Source organism: Homo sapiens, chromosome 14 (assembly GCF_000001405.40).
Source record: "Homo sapiens chromosome 14, GRCh38.p14 Primary Assembly".
In the NCBI taxonomy this organism is placed as follows: domain Eukaryota; kingdom Metazoa; phylum Chordata; class Mammalia; order Primates; family Hominidae; genus Homo; species Homo sapiens.
The window spans coordinates 18,365,949-18,388,523 of NC_000014.9; positions in this window are offsets into that span (position 1 = coordinate 18,365,949).

Sequence of the window (22,575 nt, forward strand, 5' to 3'; positions counted from 1 at the left end):
TATAAAAAGTAACGTCATTTTAATTAGTTAACTCTAAATGATCTGTCCTCATTGAGGAGTAATTTTGACTGTTATATTTTTTAAATAATAATTTTCAACTTATAACTTTACTGGATAGCTTCCAGTATTCTTTTCCATAACAGTTGTTGAAGTTACTAGTAACAGAATCTTTCTAACTAGAAGATATTCTTTTCTCACTATTGTTCAAGCATGTGTGTCATTTGGAAGAGAGTTCAGTAATAAAATACCTCAGAACTAGAAAGGAAAAACGTATTCAAGAATATAAGAATTTCATTGGAATAATAAACCGATATAGGAAGAAGTAGATCTCAAAGTGAATTCTATTTTCTAACAAAATGAATTTTAAGATAAGTATATTTAATGGCAGATTGACTTTAAAACAAGAATAAGAGAAGAAATGCCAATATATTAAAAGAAAAAATAGGAAAGAATTAGGAAAATTCGAAGAGCTGCAAAAGAAAAAGTTAGAAGTGAAGCAACTTGAACTCGCTCTCCGAATATACAAGATATGGAATTGAAGATGGTAAGAAGTAATTTGAATCAGCTCAATCAATCGCTGGTAAAAATTTTATATTTCTAACTTTATTTCATCAATATTACTTTTAATATCCATTCGATTTAGTAGGTATTATTCAGAATTATGATAATGCCGCTATAATATTTAGGTACAAACTTTTGTATATTTCATTCATAAGTTTTCATTTCTATTGGTTATGTACCTAGGAATGGAATTGCTGGGTCGTAAGGTACCTATGCATAACCTTTTCAGCAATCACCTCACAGTTTTCCAAAGTGTGCACTATTTTACTGTCCCACCGGCAATGTATGAAAGATCTAATTTCTCTAAGTCCTCACCAGGCTGGAGTGCAGTGGTGCACTCTCAGCTCTCTGCAAGCTCCGCCTCATGGGTTCACGCCATCCTCCTGCCTCAGCCTACCGAGTAGCTGGGACTACAGTCGCCCGCCACCACGCCCGGCTAATTTTTTGTATTTTTTAGTAGAGACGGGGTTTCACCATGTTAGCCAGGATGGTCTGGATCTCCTGACCTCATGATCCGCCCACCTCAGTCTCCCAAAGTGCTGGGATTACAGGAGTAAGCCACCGCACCCAACCATTTGTCAGTTTTTATTGTAGGTACACTAGTTGGTGTTAAGTGATGTCTGCTTGTGGTTTGATTTTGCATTTTCTTGATGGCTTGTGATGTTAAGCTTTTCTTCATGCACTTATTGAACACTCTTTTATCTTCTTCACAAAAGTGTCTATTTAAATATTTTGCCTATTTTTATGTATTTTTTCTTTTTACTGTTGAGTTGTAAAAGTTATTTGTGCATTTTGGATACAGATTTCTAATCAAATATATAAGTTGCAAACATTTTCTCCACTTTTCTGGTTGTCTTTTTATTTTCTTTGTTACGTTCTTTGAAACACAAATGTTTCTAATTTTGATGAAGCTCAGTACATTTTCTTTTATCACTGTGCTTTTGGTGCCATATCTAAGAAACTATTGCCAAATCCCAGGCCATAAAGATTTATTGTTATCTTTTATTCTAAGAGTTTTATAGTTTTCCAATTCAGAAACATAAAATCAAATACTGCATGTTCTTACTTAAAAATGGGAAATAAATAATGCGTAAACATGAACAAAGAGTGTAAAATGATAAGACACTGTAGACTCAGAAGGGTGAGGGGTGGGAGGGGGAAGGTTGATGAGAAATTACTTAGTGGATACAGTGTACATTGTTCCAGTGATAAACACACTAAAAGCTCAGACTTCACTCCTACCCCATATACCCATGTAACAAAATTGCACTTGCACTCCTTAAATTTATACAATTTTAAAAAATGGTTTTAGAGTTTTGGTTCTGTGATTAATTTTATAATGTTTTATTGTGGTAAAGCCTATGTAATAAGCTTTGCCGTTTTAAACATAAAATTCGGAGGCATTAATTACATTCAGAATGTTGTGCAATCATCAAAACTATGTATTTCCAAAATTTTTTTTCACCCCAAACTGAAACTCTGTACTCATTAAGCAATAACTCCTCATTCTCCCTTTCCTCCCAAGTCCCTGGTAGGAATAAATTTTATGGTATTTTAATTAATTTAAATGTAAAAAACTAAATGCAGCTGGTGGCTATCATACTGGACCTCACAGTTCTAACACCACCAGTATCAACCCCTGGACAGATATAATCATTTCTAAGCTGCCTTTGTATTTATTATTATTCTATTTATGGTAATCTGTAATCTATTCTCCCACAAAGCTGGACAATTCCTGTAAGAACATATCTTATACCATTTCATTCCCAGCTCTGAATCCTCCAGTGGTTATCTATCACAATTAACAAAGAAATCCAAGCTCTTTACTATGTTCTGTATTTGTCTGCTCCTCAGAGTGTGCATTCTCCTTTCCTCCTCCCAGTGCCTGCAGCCTGACTGGTCTTTGTAGTGATCTTTGAGCTCATCAAGCGCTGTCTGTATCCAGACTCTGCACAATGTCTCTTCTCTCTGCCCTCTAGACATTCGCTTAACTCACTCCGTCATACCATTCTGACCTGCTCAAGGGTCATCTCCTCAGAAAGATTGTTCAAGAGCTCTCTATCTAAAGTAGCAGTCCCTGACACCCTGAATGTGATTACCCTACCTTATTTTCTTTGTATTATTATACTTTTTATTTAGACACGGTCTCACTCTGTCACCAAGGCTGGGGTGCAGTGGCACAATCATGGATCACTGCAGCCTCAAACTCTGGGGCTCAAACAGACCGCCTGTCTCAGCCTCCCTAGTAGCTGGGACTATAGGTGAGCACCACAACACTTGGCTAATATATTTCTTCATAGCGCTTAGTACATCCATCACTTTAGTGTGCAACTGTTTATGCATTTATGTTCTATCTCTGTCACTATACTGCAATCTCCATAAAGACAGACCTTCTCTCTCCAGTTCCCATAATACTACCCAGCATAAAATAGGCTGTAAGTAAACATTTATTGAGTACATAAAAGAAGAATCTTATTCATGTCAAGGTTGTAATCTATGTTAGATTCAAAGAGATAGTCTCCTGACTAAATAGGAGTGTTTCTTTTTGAAGCATGCCTTTAAAAAAAGTGTTGCACATGGTGGATAAGCTTTTGTATGTGCTGCTGGATTCATTTTGCCAGTCTTTTATTGAGGATTTTCACATCAATGTTTATAAGGGCTATTGGCCTGAAATTTTCTTTATTTGTTGTGTCTGTCAGGTTTTGGTATCAGGATGATGCTGCCCTCATAAAATGAGTTAGGGAGGAGTCCCCCTTTTACCATTGTTTGGAATAGTTTCAGAAGGAATCGTACCCGCTCCTCTTTATATCTCCAGTATAATTCAGCTATGAATCCATCTGGTCCCGGGCTTTTTTTGGTTGGTAGGCTATTCATTACTGCCTCAATTTCAGAACTTGTTATGGGCCTATTCGGGGATTCTACTTCTTCCTGATTTTGTTGTGGGAGGGTGTATGTGCCAGGAATGTATCTGTATTTTCTAGATTTTCAGGTTTATTTGCAGAGAGGTGTTTATAGTATTCTCTGAGGGTAATTTATATTTCTGTGGGATCAATAGTGATACCTCCTTCATCATTTTTTTTTTGAGATGGAGTCTCACTCTGTCACCCAAGCTGGAGTGCAGTGGTGTTAGCTCACTGCAACCTCCACCTCCGGGGTTCAAGCAATTCTTCTGCCTCAGCCTCCCTAGTAGCTGGGTCTACAGGCACACACCACCACACCCAGCAAATTTTTGTATTTTTAGTAGAGATGGGGTTTCACCATATTGGCCAGGCTGGTCTCGAACTCCTGACTTTGTGATCCACCTGCCTCGGCCTCCCAAAGTGCTGGGGTTACAAGCATGAGCCATCGCACCCAGCCCCCTTTATCATTTTTTATTATGTCTAATTGATTCTTCTCTTTTTTCTCTGTTAGTCTAGCTAGTGGTCCATTTATTTTGTTAATCTCCTGGATTCACTGATATTTTGAAGGGTTTTTCGTGTCTCTATCTCTTTCAGTTCTACTCTGATCATAGTTATTTCTTGTCTTCTGGTAGCTTCTGAATTTGTTTACTCTTCTCTAGGTTTTTTAATTGTGATATTAAGGGGTTGATTTTAGATCTTTCCAGCTTTCTGTTTTGGGCATTTAGTGCTATAACTTTCCCTCTTAACACTACTTCAGCTGTGTCTCAGAGATTCTGGTACGTTGTCTCTTTGTTCTCACTGGTTTCAAACAACTTTGTTATTTCTGCCTTAATTTCATTATTTACCCAGTAGTCATTCAGAGGCAGGTTGTTCAATTTCCATGTAATTGTGTGGTTTTGAGTAAGTTTCTTAATCCTGAGTTCTAATTTGTACATGTACAAATTAGAGTACACCATGGAATGTTATGCAGCCATAAAAAATCATGAGTTCATGTTCTTTGCAGGGACATGGATGAAACTGGAAGCGACCATTCTCAGCAAACTAACACAGGAACAGAAAACCAAACAGTGCATGTTCTCACTCATAAATGGGAGTTGAACAATGAGAACACATGGACACACGGAGGGGAACATCACACACAGAGGCCTGTCAGGGGTTGGAGGGGAAGAGGAGGGAGAGCATTAGGACAAATACCTCATGCATATGGGGCTTAAAACTAAGATTACAGGTTGATAGATGGAGCAAACCACCACAGCACATATATACCTATGTAACAAACCTGTACATACTGCACATGTATCCCAGAACTTAAAGTACAATTTTTAAAACAGATATAAATATTGTATACATAAAAAAGACACACAATGTTTATGAATAGAAAGATTTTATATTGTAAAAAAGTCATTTCTACTCATTAAATTATGGTTGAATGCAATCCTACTCAAAATCCTATCAGGTAATTTAAAAATTGACAAGCTAATTTAAAATTTTTTTGAAAATTTAAAAGGACAAGAAGAACCAAGAAAGTTCTGAAGAAGAACAGAGCTCAAGAATGTATACCATCAGATGTCTCCAACTTTATTACAATTAAAATAAGATGGTATTAGCAGGACATACAAATAGAGAAACCAAAAACAAACTCATACTTATACCATCACCTGACTTATGACAAAGGTGAAACTGCAGTGCAGTGAGGAAATAATAATCTTCTCAATAAATGGTGGTAGATAATTTGGATATCAATATGGGGGAATAAAAGACTTTAACCCCTGTCTTGCATCACAAACAAAAATCAATCGTAAGTGGGTTATAAAGCTCAATCTGAAAGGTTAAAAATTAAAAAAAAAGCTTCTGTAACATAGAAGAATACCTTTATGACAATGGGGTAGACAGAAATTTCTTAAGCAAGATTAAATAAGCATTAACTACACAGAAAAATTCTGATAAATTGAACTACATTAAAATTAAGAAATTGGTATTAACGAAGTCACCATTAAGAGAAAGAAAAGACAAGTTAAATTGGGAGAATATATCTGCAATGTTTAGGTCCAATCAAAAATTTATATCCAGAATATATAAAAATTTCCTACAAATCTTCATATATTCTGGTTATAAACTTTTGATTGGACATAAACTAAAAAGTCCAGGATCAGACGGATTCACAGCTGAATTCTACCAGAGGTACAAAGAGGAGCTGGTACCATTCCTTCTGAAACTATTCCAATCAATAGAAAAAGATGGAATCCTCCCTAACTCATTTTATGAGGCCAGCATCATCCTGATACCAAAGCCGGGCAGAGACACAACAAAAAAAGAGAATTTTATACCAATATCGCTGATGAACATCGATGCGAAAATACTCAATAAAATACTGGCAAACCAAATCCAGCAGAACCTCAAAAAACTTATCCACCATGATCAAGTGGGCTTCATCCCTGGCATGCAAGCCTGGTTCAACATAAGCGAATCAATAAATGTAATCCAGCATATAAACAGAATCAATGACAAAAACCACATGATTATCTCAATAGATGCAGAAAAGGACTTTGACAAAATTCAACAACTCTTCATGCTAAAAACTCTCAATAAATTAGTTATTGATGGGACGTATCTCAAAATAATAAGACCTATCTATGACAAACCCACAGCCAGTATCATACTGAATGGGCAAAAACTGGAAGCATTCCCTTTGAAATCTGGCACAAGACAGGGATGTCCTCTCTCACCACTCCTATTCAACATAGTGTTGGAAGTTCTGGCCAGGGAAATCAGGCAGGAGAAAGAAATAAAGATTATTCAGTTAGGAAAAGAGGAAGTCGAATTGTCCCTGTTTGAAGATGACATGAATTATATATTTAGAAAACCCCATCGTCTCAGCCCAAAATCTTCTTAAGCTGATAAGCAACTTCAGCAAAGTCTCAGGATACAAAATCAATATGCAAAAATCACAAGCATTCTTATACACCAATAACAGACAAACAGAGAACCAAATCATGAGTGAACTCCCATTCACAATTGCTTCAAAGAGAATAAAATAAATAGGAATCCAACTTACAAGGGATGTGAAGGACCTCTTCAAGGAGAACTACAAACCACTGCTCAAGGAAATAAAAGAGGATACAAAGAAAAGGAAGAACATTCCATGCTCATGGGTAGGAAGAATCAATATCGTGAAAATGGCCGTACTGCCCAAGGGAATTTATAGATTCAATACCATCCCCATCAAGCTACCAATGACTTTCTTCACAGAATTGGAAAAAACTACTTTAAAGTTCATATGGAACCAAAAAAAGAGCCTGCATCACCAAGTCAATCCTAAGCCAAAAGAACAAAGCTGGAGGCATCACGCTACCTGACTTCAAACTATACTAGAAGGCTACAGTAACCAAAAGAGCATGGTACTGGTACCAAAACAGAGATATAGACCAATGGAACAGAACAGAGCCCTCAGAAATAATACCACACATCTGCAACCATCTGATCTTTGACAAACCTGACAACAACAAGAAATGGGGAAAGGATTCCCTATTTAATAAATGGTGCTGGGAAAACTGGCTAGCCATAGGTAGAAAGCTGAAACTGGATCCCTTTCTTACACCTTATACAAAAATTAACTCAAGATGGATCAAAGACTTAAATGTTAGATCTAAAACCATAAAGACCCTAGAAGAAAACCTAGGAAATGCCATTGAGGACATAGGCATGGGCAAGGATTTCATGTCTAAAATACCAAAAGCAATGGCAACAAAAGCCAAAATTGACAAATGGGATCTAATTAACTAAAGAGCATCTGCACAGCAAAAGAAACTACCATCAGAAGGAACAGGCAACCTACAGAATGGGAGAAGATTTTTGCAATCTACTCATCTGATAAAGGGCTAATATCCAGAATCTACAAAGGACTCAAACAAATTTACAAGAAAAAAACAAACAATCCCATCACAAAGTGGGTGAAGGATATGAACAGACACTTTTCAAAAGAAGACATTTATGCAGCCAACAGACCATGAAAAAATGCTCATCATCACTGGTCATCAGAGAAATGCAAATCTAAATCACAATGAGATACCATCTCACACCAGTTAGAATGGCGATCATTAAAGAGTCAGGAAAAAACAGGTGCTGGAGAGGATGTGGAGAAATAGGAACACTTACACTGTTGGTGGGACTGTAAACTAGTTCAACCATTGTGGAAGTCAGTGTGGTGATTCCTCAAGGACCTAGAACTAGAAATACCATTTGACCCAGCCATCCCATTACTGGGTATATACCGAAAGGATTACAAATCATGCTGCTATAAAGGCACATGCACCCATATGTTTACTGCGGCACTATTCACAATAGCAAAGACTTGGAACCAACAAAAAATGTCCATCAATGATAGACTGGATTAAGAAAATGTGGCACATATACACCATGGAATGCTATGCAGCCATGAAAAAGGATGAGTTCATGTCCTTTGTAGGGACACAAATGAAGCTGGAAACCATCATTCTCAGCAAACTATCGCAAGAACAAAAAACCAAACACTGTATGTCCTCACTCATAGGTGAGAATTGAACAATGGGAACACTTGGACACAGGAAGGGGAATATCACACACCAGGCCCTGTTGTGGGGTGGGGGAAGAAGGGAGGGATAGCAATAGGAGATATACCTAATGTAAATGAGTAGTTAATGGGTGCAGCACACAAACATGGCCCATGTATACATATGTAACAAACCTTCACGTTGTGCACATGTACCCTAGAACTTAAAGTATAAAAAAAATTATTAAAAATCACTGAAATGTACACTTTAAAAAACAAAAAAAAAGAGTGTATTCTATCAGGATTCTGACTAGAGTGCTCTAGAGTATGACATAGGATAGGGAATGTCTTAATAAGCTTCAAAATTCTAGGAATAATGAACCTAGGAAAAAAGCTTTGAAAAATGCCAGGGATTCAACTGCCTCCCTGGCCTTTCCCTGCCAATCAATGTGCCCCAGCACCCAATTTACACAGCACTGTGTGCAGGTTTGTAAATAGACCTTCCAATTCTGCTATAATCAAGACCTTATTGTCCATAACTCAATTTGGAGAAGGTTTAGCTGTCTGCCAACTCTTGTGCAGAGTTTCTGTGAAGTTTTGTTTTGGGTTGCAAGAATCTGGAAAACAAATGCAGATATTTTTGAGGAAGATTTTGAAATTTCTATTTACAATGTACCCAAAATGGGATGCAAACTCGAATTTGGTTGATCTTCTGAAATACATACCTGTGTTTTAAGATTTGCTTGAGCAAACCTTTAACCATGGAAATTTGAAACAATGATTTCCGGGTTGAAATAATTCCAGTTTTGTCATTTAAATACCGCAAATGAATCTGTTTTAGCACAGGGTACAAATATCTTTTTTCCTTTTGTGCATTTGGCAGTAGTGTGTTTTGGTAATAAAACATAGCTCTGCATATTAATGAAACATAGCTCTGCATATTTTGTCTGGGGAAAATTAGTATTCTGTGAACAAAGTCAACAATTTCTGGCCTCGCATTAGTTTTCCTATTATAATTAAAACTTAGTTTTGGCCGGGCGTGGTGGCTCAGGCCTGTAATCCCCGCACTTTGGGAGGTCAAGGCAGGCAGATCATGAGGCCAGGAGGTTGAGACCATCCTGGCTAACATGGTGAAATCCCGTCTCTTCTAAAAATACAAAAAAAAAAAAAAAAATTAACCAGTTGTGGTGGCGGGCGCCTGTAGTCCCAGCTACTCAGGAGGCTGAGGCAGGAGAATGGCATGAACCTGGGAAGCAGAGCTTGCAGCAAGCCGAGATCAAGCCACTGCACTCTAGCCTGGGTGACAGAGAGAGACTCTGTCAAAAAAAAAAAAAAAACAAAACAAAAAAACACTTAGTTTTGAAAATATCTTGGTATTAAATTTCCAATGCTTCAATATTATAATGAAAACCTTGCTTTACTGAGAGCAGAAACATAATGCAGAAAAGAAAAAAGACCAACAGTCTCTAGATTACTGGATTTATGTGGATATGATGGAGTTGGTGTTTAATGATTTCTCCCTTGAATCATAGCAAAGATGCTTTTGCGAAGCATAGCTCTTTCATAAATATACTTTCCAACCATTCAGCATTACCTATCTTTTGGCTCCTTTTGCTTTGTGTTTCTGCTCTGATATCATTTCTGGAAACAAATTACAGTAACAAATTTATTGAGAGCTGGCATTGTGAATTGTGCCTAGGATTTAAGTTGCTTAATACACTGCCCTCCCAAATCAAGAGAAACAGGCCATTCTGGGACAAACATAGCCTGTCTCACACAGGGGTCAGGAAGCAGAGATATCAGGCAATTGGGACTATGTCTTTATGATAGATATGGTTAGGCTTTGTGTGCCCACATCTCATCTTGAATTGTAATCCCCATGTGTTAAGGGAGACACCTGGTGGGAAGTGATTGGATCATGGGGGGTGGTTTCCCCCATGCTGTTCTTGTGATACTGAGTGAATTCTCATGAATTCTGATGGTTTTATAAATGGTAGTTTTTTCTGCACACACACACATGTTCTTTCTCCTGCTGCCATGTAAGAAGGTCCAGTTTGCTTCTCCTTTGCCTTTTGCCATGATTGTAAGTTTCCTGAGGCCTCCCCAGCTATGAGGAACTGTGAGTCAATTTAACCTTTTTGTTTTATAAGTTACCTAGTCTTGGGAAGATTTTTATTGCAGTGTGAGAATGGACTATTACAGTAAATTCATGCTGATAGAGTTGGGTACTGCTATAAAGATACCCAGCAATGTAAAAGCGACTTTGGATCTGGAGATGGAGATGAGAAACCTATTGGGAACTAGAGCAAAGGTCACTCTTGCTATGCTTAAGCAGAGACTGGCAGCATTTTCCCCCTGCCCTAAAGAGCTGTGGAACTTTGAACTTAGATGATCTGAAATTGAAACTTACATTTAAAAGGGAAGCAGAGCATAAAAGTTTGGGAAAATTTACAGCCTGATAATGCTATAGAAAAGAAAAACCCATTATTTGGGGAAAAATTCAAGCCAGCTGCAAAAATTTGCATAAGCAACAGGGAGCCTAATGTTAATCACCAAGACAATGGGGAACATGTCTCCAGGGCATGTCAGAGACCTTCACAGAAGCCTTTCCCATCACAGACCAGGAGGTCTAAGAGGAAAAAATGGCTTTGTGTGCCGGGTCCAGGCCTTGCTGCTTTGTGAAGCCTCAGTACTTGGTGCCCTGTGTCCCAGCCACTACATCTGTGGCTAAAAGGGGCCAAGGTACAGTTCAGACCATTGCTTCTGTAGGTACAAGCCCCAAGCTTCGTTGGCTTCCATGTGGTGTTGAGCCTGTGAGTGCACAGAAGTCAAGAATTGGGGTTTGGGAACCTCCACCTAGATTTTAGAGGATGTAAGGAAAAGCCTGGATATACAGGCATAAGTTTGCTGCAGAGGTGGAGCCCTCATGGAGAACTCCATGTTAGGGCAGTGCAGAAGAGAAATGTGAGGTCAGAGCCTTCACACACAGTCCCCACTGAGGCACTGACTAGTGGAGCTGTGAGAAAAGAGCCACTATTCTCCAGATCCCAGAATGGTAGATCAACCAACAGCTTGCATTGTACATCTGGAAAAGCTGCAGACACTCAATGCCAGCCTATGAAAGCAGCTTGGAATGGGGCTGTACCCTGCAAAGGCACGGGGCAGAGCTGCCCAAGACCATGAGAGCCTACTTCTTGCACCAGTGTGACCTGAATGTGAGACATGGAGTCAAAGGAGATTATTTTGGAGCTTTAAAATGCAATGACTACCCTGCTGGATTCTGGACTTGCATGGGGCCTTTAGCCCCTTTGTTTTGTCCAATTCTCCTATATGGAATGGGAGCATCCTCATCCAATGCCTGTACCCTCATTGTATCTTAGAAGTAATTAACTTGGTTTTGATTTTATAGGCCATGCTAATCAGCATTCAGTTCCAGATTCCAATTTATTCTCAGTGTGCCTGTATAACTTTTCTTTCCATATATATAGAATTAAATTTCTATTACTTATTTGAATGTTATAGAATACTGTTCATACATTTAAAATAAAACCACCAGGTATAATGATTTCTGGCTTAGTATAAAAAAGCTTTTACCCAGTTAGTGTTATTTACACAGGTGGATGTGGCTCCACAACATTTAGAGAAGAAGAATAAATTAAGCTGTCATATGTTGCCATGACTCAGCCTATGAAGAGGTTATGAAAAAATCCAAATTTCAGCAAAAGTATATGGTTGTTTTCAGTACCTCTGGAGGTGGTATATCAAGAATTCTCATGCTACTGTTTGAGAAAACAGATTCCGTTGTTACCTAGAAAATCAACTGCAAGGCATTTTAATAACCTTACCCCATGTAAAAAAAAAATACATTGAAATGTACTAATAAATGCAGACTACATTACTTGAAAAATGGTAATACAGAATACCACTTTTAATATTTGAGAATATGAATTTTTGGTAGAAATAATGTAAAATAAAGCTTCTGGTAAGCCTTGGGCAGTTAAATTTACATCAGTGTAAAGTAGGATGAAAATCTGTAAAAAATAAAAATAAAAAACACACAAAAACCTACACCAAAAAAACCCTAACATCCACCAATGCATACATATTGATCTTTGTGCTGGGAAAATCTAAAGCAGAACATTTTGGTAAACTTGATCGTTATTTATTTTGACTATATTGGCATGTTGATAAAACTGCTTATATTTAATTTGAGTGAAACATGTCCACATTATTAAAAGTGTTGCTTTGTACTATGAATGATGGATGTAAAGTCTTGATCCTCATCCAAATAAATATGGCAACACTTTCTTCTGCTTCTTTTGAGCTGAGGCATTATGAAAGCTCAAATTTGAAGTGAGAGGGACTTAACATCAGAGCCTGAGAAACCAAGAAGAATAAGGTAGGATGGTCAGCTCTGAAGCTCAGGGTGGCCTGGGGAAACTCAATATAATGATGTCAACTATGAAGCTTACTGGGTAAAACTACAAATAGGCTGATCTCATTTTACAAAGGTAAGTCAACACTCCCATTTCCAAGAAAGTAAAAAACAAAACAAGCAAATAAAACTAAAAATACAAACTTGAAAACATCATGGCTTAAATTTGGTGGGAAGAAGCCTCTGGGATCAAAAATACTTGTGCCAAAAGAATTGAGCCAGCCGGGTGTGGTGTCTCATGCCTGTAATCCCAGGACTTTGGGAGGCCGAGGTGGGCAGATCACCTGAGATCAATAGTTTGAGAACAGCCTGGCCAATATAGTGAATCCCCATATCTACTAAAAATACAAAAAATTAGCTGGGCATGGTGGCAGGCACTGTAATCCCAGCTACTTGGGAGGCTGAGGCAGGAGAATAGTTTCAACCCAAGAGGCGAAGGCTGCAGTGAGCCGAGGTCGTGCCATTGCACTCAAGCCTGGGCAACAAGAGCGAAACTCCGTCAATTAAAAAAAAAAAAAAAAGAATTGAGCCAGAATAAAATGTATTTAAGGGTTATTAAGGGGAATGTTTCCAGCACATAAGTAATTGTTCCACATCATATTATATTATATTAGGCAATATACTTTCATGTAATATCAGCTTCTCAAGACAGGGATGTCAAAGAGAAACTAAGACAAGTGCCTAATATGTCATTGGCATTTTGTTCTCAAATTTAACAAACTTGTAATGATTATATAAATTTTACTGAACTGTGTTTTATGTATAAACCTCACCTAAAGGCATTATCCAGTACATACAACCTTCAGTCTTTTCTGGGATGTTCTGTTGCCTGATTTCAAATCAAACTTATTGAAATTCTAGCAATTTCTCCAGTCCCAGATGTAAAAATAAAAAAGCAGAAATAAAGCCAAATTACCCCCAAAAGAATATGCATTATACGTATAGAACAAATGAACCCAAAACCACATAAGATAAACAACAAAGCTACTGGTTCAAAATTAAGCCTAACTTCAACAGTACCAGGCAAAAACCATTTGTAAAAATTACCAAAGTCAAAATACAGAAACCTTTAGTCTATTATGCCTATAAATATCATGGAACCTGCCCCGATAGTCACGTAGGTTCTTTTCTATTTTCCCTAAGTGTCAACTGGTTTGAGAAATAAAGGGAGAGAGTACAAAAGTGGGAAATTTTAAAGCTGGGCATCCAGGGGAGACATCACGTGTCAGTAGGTTCCGTGATGCCCCCCAAGCCGCAAAACCAGCAAGTTTTTATTAGGGACTTTCAAAAGTGGAGGGAGTGTACGAATAGGGTGTGGATCATAAAGATCACATACTTCACAAGGTAATAGAATATCACAAGGCAAATGGAGGCAGGGCAAGATCACAGGACCACAGGACCAGGGCAAAATTAAAATTGCTAATGAAGTTTCAGACACCATTGTCATTGACAACATCTTATCAGGAGACAGGGTTTGAGAGCAACCTGTCTGACCAAAATTTATTAGGCAGGAATTTCCTCTTCCTAATAAGCTTGGGAGTTCTACAGGAGACTGGGGTTTATTTCATCCCTAAAGTTTTGACCATAGAAGATGGTTACACCCAAGGGGGCCATTTGTAGTCCCACCCTCAGGGGTGCATTCTCTTTCTCAGGGATGTTCCTTGCTGAGAAAAATAATTCAGTGATATTTCTCCCATTTGCTTTTGAAAGAAGAGAAATATGGTTCTGTTCCACTTGGATCACCAGTGGTCAGAGTCTAAGGTTATCTCTCTTATTCCCTGAACAATTGCTGTTATCCTGTTCTTTTTTCAAGGTGTCCAGATTTCATATTGTTCAAACACACAGGCTCTACAATCTGTGCAGTTAACGCAGTTATCACAGGGTCCTGAGGTGACATATGTCCTCCTCAGCTGACAGGATTAAGAGATTAAAGTAAAGACAGGCATAAGAAATCACAAGGGTATTGACTGGGAAAGTGATAAGTGTCCATGAAATCTTAACAATTTGTGTTTAGAGATTGCAGTAAAGACAGGCATAGGAAATTATAAAAGTATTAATTTGGGGAACTAATAAATGTCCATAAAATCTTCACAGTCCCCATTCTTTTGCCATGGCTTCAGCCGGTCCCACTGTTTGGGGTCCCTGACTTCCCACAACAAATAAAAAACTAGCATTAAATATAACGTTAAATATAACAGAACATATACAATTACAATAAAGTATTTTTAAATGGTAATCTTATTTACAAATATTTACCATATTTAGACAAGACTTTTAATGAAAAATACTTATAGCTACAATGTATGATTAAAACAGCCCTGGAAGAAATATTAATTCTATTAATAATAAAGATTAAGGCAGGGTGCAGTGGCTCACACCTATTATCCCAGCACTTTGGGAGGCCGAGGTGGGCAGATCATCTGAGGTCAGGAGTTCGCCACCAGCCTGGCCAACATGGTGAAACCTAGTCTCTACTAAAAATGCAAAAATTAGCCAGGCGTGGTGGCAGGCATCTGTAATCCCAGCTACTTGGGAGGTTGAGGAAGGAGAATTGCTTGAACCTGGGAGGTGGAGGTTGCAGTGAGCTGAGATTGCACCATTGCACTCCAGCCTGGATGACAAGAGTGAGAATCCATCTAAAAAAATATTAAAACTTCAAGGTTGTTGTATAATTTATCCTGGACACACAGCTAATGACCCAAATCAAGCTCAGATGTGTTTGATTTTAAAATTCTCCCTTTTCCACTGTGGACAATGTTGATGTAACAGTTAAATCTTGGTCTCAGAGTTGGTGGTTGGGAATAAATCAAGGCAAGTACTATTATGCTTTGTTTTGTATTCTTTATCACCAACATTTTCTTCTCTAATATGTCAGTATTTACATTTGGACCACAGCTGACTTTTACTGAAGTCTACTATAAAACATGGCTAAATTGAAAATTAATGTGATCACAAAATGATTTGTCATGAAAGCAGGTATATTTTTCAAGTTTCAGCTCAGTCACAAATTTGTATCTATTTGAATTTTTTGAAAATTTCTGACATATACTCAAGTAAATATCAAATGTATTGTTTTATTCAATTTTTTGGATTCAATTAAAAAGTAATTTATATTCAAGTTTGTTGTTATATTTACTTTTGACCAAATTTGACTTTCCAAACAGGAAAAGCTAAAGCATTTTTTTCAAAGGTTCAAGGGACTTAAGCTTACTGGCATCAAATGTTCTGTAGTAAAACAGGCAAATAAAACCTAACATTTTTATCAATAATAATTTAATAGTTTTATGTCTGAGAACCTAAGAATCAAAGACATCAACTCCAGATGATGTCAATTGCATAATTACACTGGTAAGATAGAAAATGATTATCAGAGTCTATCAAATGATGGATATGGCAACCTAACACTTGACAAAACCATTCAGGATGTGTTAGATAAACAAGAAGGTACTACTAATGTAAAGATTTTCTTTATCTAACTTTACTTTTTTTTTTTTTTTTTGAGACAGAGTCTCACTCTGTTGCCCAGGCTGGAGTGCAGTGGTGCAATCTCAGCTCACTGCAAGCTCCGCCTCCCAGGTTCACGCCATTCTCCTGCCTTAGCCTCCCGAGTAGCTGGGACTACAGGCGCCTGCCATGACGCCTGGCTAATTTTTTATATTTTTTAGTAGAGACGGGCTTTCAACCTGTTAGCCAGGATGGTCTCAATCTCCTGACCTTGTGATCCACCTCCTTCAGCCTCCCAAAGTGCTGATATTACAGGCATGAGCCACCGAGCCTGGCCCAATTTTACTCTTTATTCTCAACCTTACAACCATCAGATACTCATGTACACAGAATAATAAAAATCAACTTTTTTTCCTTGAAGGCAATGTTTCGTCTTGTATTTTATAATATCTGTTCCACATTGCTGTGACAATGCTGTTGAAGTGCACCTTCCTTCTTTCACCAAAAGATCACCTGTGTGAATTTGAATAGATGGTCACTGGAGGGGACCAGCTTGGCACACTGGATTGAATTGTCTCTTTGCCTTTCAGGCAAAGTGGCTTTGAAAAGACTGAAAATAAAGTGTCTGCTGCTTAAGCAGATGGCTTGCCATGTAAATAGGACAATTGTTTGAAAATCCACATCGCATGAACTACAACTATTAAAATGTGAAATGCATGATGCAAATAGTGCACAAAAAATAGAATGAAAATGATCAATATAGCCATAAAAGACAGCCAAACTCCATTTTAGCAATAAAGTAAAATATAATCTGCTGTCAGGGAAGGTAATTTGAAGTACTTGAGATGTTCTTTAATTTAAAAATCCAAAAATATTTTTAGTTTTAGTTATATAAAACATGTTTAAGCATTTTCCATTTGAAATAAAATTTTAATTTCATGCTTTGTCAGTTTAGTTTCCCTAAATAAACAGAAAATAGTAAAATATCGCATACTAAAAAAATCAACTTCTTTGGTAATAAATCAGTTCAACTGTCAGACCAAAACATAGTTACATTTTACCCAATGTCATGCTGACCAATTTGATCAAATGCCACTTCCTTATAACTAAGAGGGATGCAAAGATGTAGATTTTATGTTGAGTGAGACAGGTAAGGATTACTAGGAGTTAGATAATTGTTTTACTAATCAAGGTCGATTTTCATTACTATTTTGTTTCTATGTTAATTAATGGTCTTGATTCAAGAATTTTTTTTAAAAAACTCATCTTCTCAGTCAGGCAAAATATTAACAAAAAGGAATAGAAATGAAGGCATTTAACACAGTCATAGTTTACATTTTAAAATTAAAATATTTCTAGAAATAACAAAAAAAGAAAAAATATAAAAACAAATGAACTTAATTTTTGGTGCAAAGCACTCATTACTAAGCCTAACACAAATATTTTGGTAAAGGCTTTCTGACACTGACATTCTTCTCCTGACTTAAAAGAGCCACTAATTTTACTTTTGACATATATTTAGTTTTAATGTTAAAAGCTAAAAGGAGCCTATTATTTTATTTATAATTGGTGGTCTGCATGTACATCGCCATCCATTGAGTCGACTAAAGTTTCTCAAAACTTCAGAAACAGTAACATAAGAATACTTTTTCCAGCCATGCATGGTGGCTCACGCCTGTAATCCCAGCACTTTGGGAGGCCGGGGTGGGGGGAATCACCTGAAGTCAGGCATTTGAAACCAGCCTGATGAACCTGGTGAAACACCATCTCTACTAAAAATACAAAATTAGCTGGGCGTGGTGGCACATGCCTGTAACCCCAGCTACTCCTTCAATGACCACATGTGAAGTTTCTTTTGAACTAATTATAACTACCTATTTTTATTGCTTTTTTGCTCCTATTAGAAAAAAATATTAAAGTTCCTGTTACTACAAACACAATCTATTCAAATCTAAGCATAGTGCTTATCTTAAAAGATCTATATGCTTGGAATTATGGAAATCCTATTCTCCATTTAAAATACTGCTTTTCAGTAAGCCAAATGGGGCAACTGTGGCTCACAATCATAAGTTATTAAATATTAATACCATCATCTAGTTGGAACTTTTAGTTATCTGCATGTTCAAATGGTTTTAACTTATAATAAGTCAGAAACTATAATTTTTTATAAACTATAGAAATAAACAAAAAATATATTTATCAATGCATTTTTTTTCAGTTTTAAAATACTTAGCCCCAGGATTATTTCTAGTTGACATAACACTAGATTTCAGATGATGTGGATGTAGAAACTAGAAACGTCCTGGTTGACTCTGCTTCACTTTCTGCCTTCATTTAGCACACAAACATAGCAGCACAACGAAAGCCAGCAATGCTACCCCTTTTGAAAAGCACACCAGTGCCCTTCTAGGGAGAATATATGTGTGAAAAGATGCATCTGAAAGTCAGGCCATGTTCTCTTTTATTTACAGACTTATATATGACAAATAATACAAATAAAAATTTAACACTGCCATATAATCAGAAAATTATTCTAAAAATTCCTTCTGACACATTATTCTTTTTCACCAAAATGGTTGTGATGAAATGATTGCCTTTGCAGGACGGTTGTCTTAAATAACCAATACTCCCGTTTCATTGTTCTTGAACTTTAACCATAACGCTTTCATGCTTTTTCTAGAAATTTTATTTCCTAATTATGTCACTTAGGTATGATTACCATAGCTTCATATTTTCAAAAACGGTTCTAAAAAAACTTAAACCACTGACCATCTTTGTTTCCCAAAGGAGTAGACTAATAAATTAACACTATCATCTAGCATACTGTAAATAGATGAAAAATAATGATGTAGAGCAGGCGTGTTCAATCTTTTGGCTTCCCTGGGACACACTAGAAGAACTGTCTTGAGCCATACATAAAATACACCAATGATGATAAAAAAAATCACAAAAAACTCATAATGCTTTTAGAAAGTTTATGAATTTGTTTAGGGCTGCACTGAAAGCCATATTGGGCCACATGCAGCCTGTAGGTCATGAGTTGGACAAGCTTGATATACTGTCATTTATTTTAGCTGCACACTCAAGACTAAGGCCAAGGGCTTTCAGAGAAAATAGCCTATAGGATGTCAGGAGACCTGTTATAGAAACATTCACCCCTATGTCTAAAGGGGACAAAATTCTATGTCTTCCACCCTTAATTCCAACCATTAACCAAAACTGGAGAAATCTAACATGGCATTATATCACAAAGTACTTTATTATTTTTATTTTGGATTCAAGGATACACGTGCAGATTTGTAACATAGGTATACTGCATGACATTGGGGTTTGGGCAATTAATAATCCCTTTGCCCAGGTAGTGTACATGATACATGATAAGTACTTTTTAACCCTTGTACCCCTTCTCCCTCCGTTTTGGAATCCTTAGTGTTTATTGTTCTCATCATTGCTTCCGTGTGTACCCAATGTTTAGCTTCCATTTATAAGTGAGAAAAAGTAGTATTTGGTTTTCTGTTCTGTGTTAATTTGCTTAGGATCATGACCTTGAGCTGCATCCATGTTGCTGCAAAGAGTATTACAAGATTCTTCTTCAGTGGCTGCATAGTATTGGATGGTGTGTAATTACCTAATTTTTAAAATCCATCTTAAGATTTATGAGCACATGGTTTCATTCCATGTTTTTGCTATTGTGACTAGTGCTGCAATAAACATACGAGTGCAGTGTATTTTTGGAAGAAAAATTTATTTGTATTTGGGTATATGCCCAGTAGTGAGGCTGCTGGGTCAAATGGTAACTTTAGTTTTAGTCATTTGAGAAATCCCCAAAATGCATTCTACAGGAGCTGAACTAATTTGCATTCCCACTAAGTATATCAGGGTTCTCTTTTCTACACAATTTTAATATCTGTTTTTTTTTTTTTTTTTTTACTTTTTAATAATAGTCATTTAGACTGGGGTGAGATGGTATCACATTGTAGTTTGGATTTACATCTCTCTAATCATTAGAAATGTTGATCCATTTTTCATATGTTTGATGGCTGCTTTTCTTGTCTTTTAAAAGTATATGTTCACATTTTTTGTCAATATTTTTTCTTAAATTCCTTATAAAACATATATATTAGTTATTTGTTGTATGCAGTTTACACATATTTTAGCCCATACTGTAGGTTGTCTGTTTATTTTGTTAATAGTTTCTCTTGCTGTGCAGGTCACAATTTTTATTTTTTATTTTTGTTGCTTTCACTTTTGAGGATGTAGTCATTAATTCTTTACAGAGACCAATGCCAAGGAGAGAATTTTCTAGGTGTTCTTTTAGGATTTTTATAGGTTGAACTCTTACAGATATGTCTTTAATGTATCTTGAGTTAATTTTCCATATCATGAGTCGAGTTTTCCTCTTCTGCATATGACTAACCAGTTTTTCCAGCACCTTTTATTGGGTAGGGAGTTCTTTCCATTTGTTTCTGTTGATGCTGTCAAAAATCAATTAATTGTAAGAGTTCAGCTTCATTTCAGGGCTCTCTCTTCTGTTCAATAGGGATATGTGTGTGTGTGTATCTGCATCCACATTATATTGATTACCGTAACTTGTGGTAAAGTTTGAAGTTTGGTAACATAATGTCTCCAGGTTTATACTTTTTGTTTAGTATGGCCTTGGCTATTTGAGCTTTTTTGTTTACATATAAATTTTAGAATAGTTTTTTTGTCTAATTTTATAAAAAATGGCATTGGTAGAGTGATAGAAATACAAATAAACTGTCAATTGCTTTGGGCAGTATGAAATTTTTAATAATTCTAATCCATTAGCATGAAATACTATTCCATTTATTTGCACTGTGTCTGATTTCTTTCAGTAGTGGTTTGTAGTTCTTCTAGTAGAGATATTTAACCTCCTTTGTTTAATGGATCACTATTTTATTTTTTGTTTCTGGCTATTGTAAACTGGATTGTTTTCTTAATTTTGCTCTGCTTAAGTGTTACTGGTGTAGAAATGTTCCTCATTTTTGAATGTTGTTTTGCTTTTTGTTGTTGTTGCTGAGATTTTGCTGAAGTCTTTTATTAGGCTTAGGAGTCTTTTGGAGGAGTCTTTGAAGTTGGTAGAAAATTATAGCATCAGTAAAGACAGATAAGTTGATTTCCTTTTCTCTTATTTGAGTGCTTTTCCTTTCTTTATCTTGCCTGATTGTTCTGGCTAAAACTTTCAGGACTATGTTGAATAGGAGTGGTGGAAGTGCACATTCTTTTCTTATTTCAGTTTTTAGGAAGGATGCATTAATCTTTCACCTGTTCAGTATGATGTTGGCTGAGGATTTGTCTCATGTGGCTGTTATTATTTTGAGGTATGTTCCTTCAATGCCTAGTTTTTTGAGAATTCTTTTCATAAATAGATATTACATTTTATTAATTGCTATTTCCACATCTATTGAGGTAATGTGGTTTTGTTTTTAAATTATTTTTATATGTTGAATCACATTTATAGATTGCACATGTTAAAACATTCCTGCATTCACAGAATAATGTCCACATAGTTGCAGTGAAATAACTTTGATTTCCTGACTCAGTTTGCAAGCATTTCATGAATAATTTTTGTGTCTGTATTCATCAAGGATATTGGCCTGTAATTTTTTGTGTGTGTCTTTACCTGATTAATATATCAAGATGAGACTGATATGATAGAATTAATTAGGAAGGAGTCCCACTTTGATTTTTTGGAATACTTTCTGTAGAATTATAGCTGACTCATTTTTGTATACATGATAAAATCATGCTGTGAATGCATCTGGTTTAGCACTTTTTATAATTGGTAGATTTTTTTTATCACCAATTCAATTTGCTTACACATTTTGGTTTCTTCAAGATTTGTTTATTCCTGATTCAATCTTGGGAGGTTGTATATTTCTAAGAGTTTATTCATTTCCTCTAGACTTTCTAGTTGGTGTGCACAGAGATATATATAGTAGTCTGCAAGTATGTTTTGTATTTTTGTGGGATTGGTTGTCACAAATGTAACATTCAAATAGATGTATAATGAAAGTGTAACAAAATTCAATATCTCCTCATAATAAATCTCTTGAACTAGTTATAAAATAAATGAAATTCAAGGTAATGTCGTGTGTAACAAAAATGCACACCTAATATACTGAATAAGGAAAAACTGTAAGCCTTTTCTCTAAGAGCTAGAACAAGACAAGGATGTCCAATTTCTCCAATCCTTTTTTTTTTTTTTTTTTGAGATGGAGTCTCACTCTGTTGCCTAGGCTGGAGTGCAGTGGTGCAATTTTGGCTCACTGCAAGCTCTGCCTCCCAGGTTTACACCATTCTCCTGCCTCAGCCTCCTGAGTAGCTGGGACTACAGGTGCCCACCACCACACCAGGCTAATTTTTGTCTTTTTAGTAGAGACGGGGTTTCACCTTGTTAGCCAGGATGGTCTTGGTCTCCTGACCTCGTGATGCATCCACCTCTGCCTCCCACAGTGCTGGGATTACAGGTGTGAGCCACCACACCCAGCCCAATTTCTTTGATCTTACTGAACATAATACAAAATGACCAAGACAGAAAAATTATTCAATAAAATCAAAACAACCTTAAATAAAATGAAGAAGATAAATTATATTTTCCTTGCAGATGATATAATCTTAAGTATAGAAAAACCTAGGACTTCACAAAAAATTATTAGAATAAACAATTTTATTAAACTTGCAGG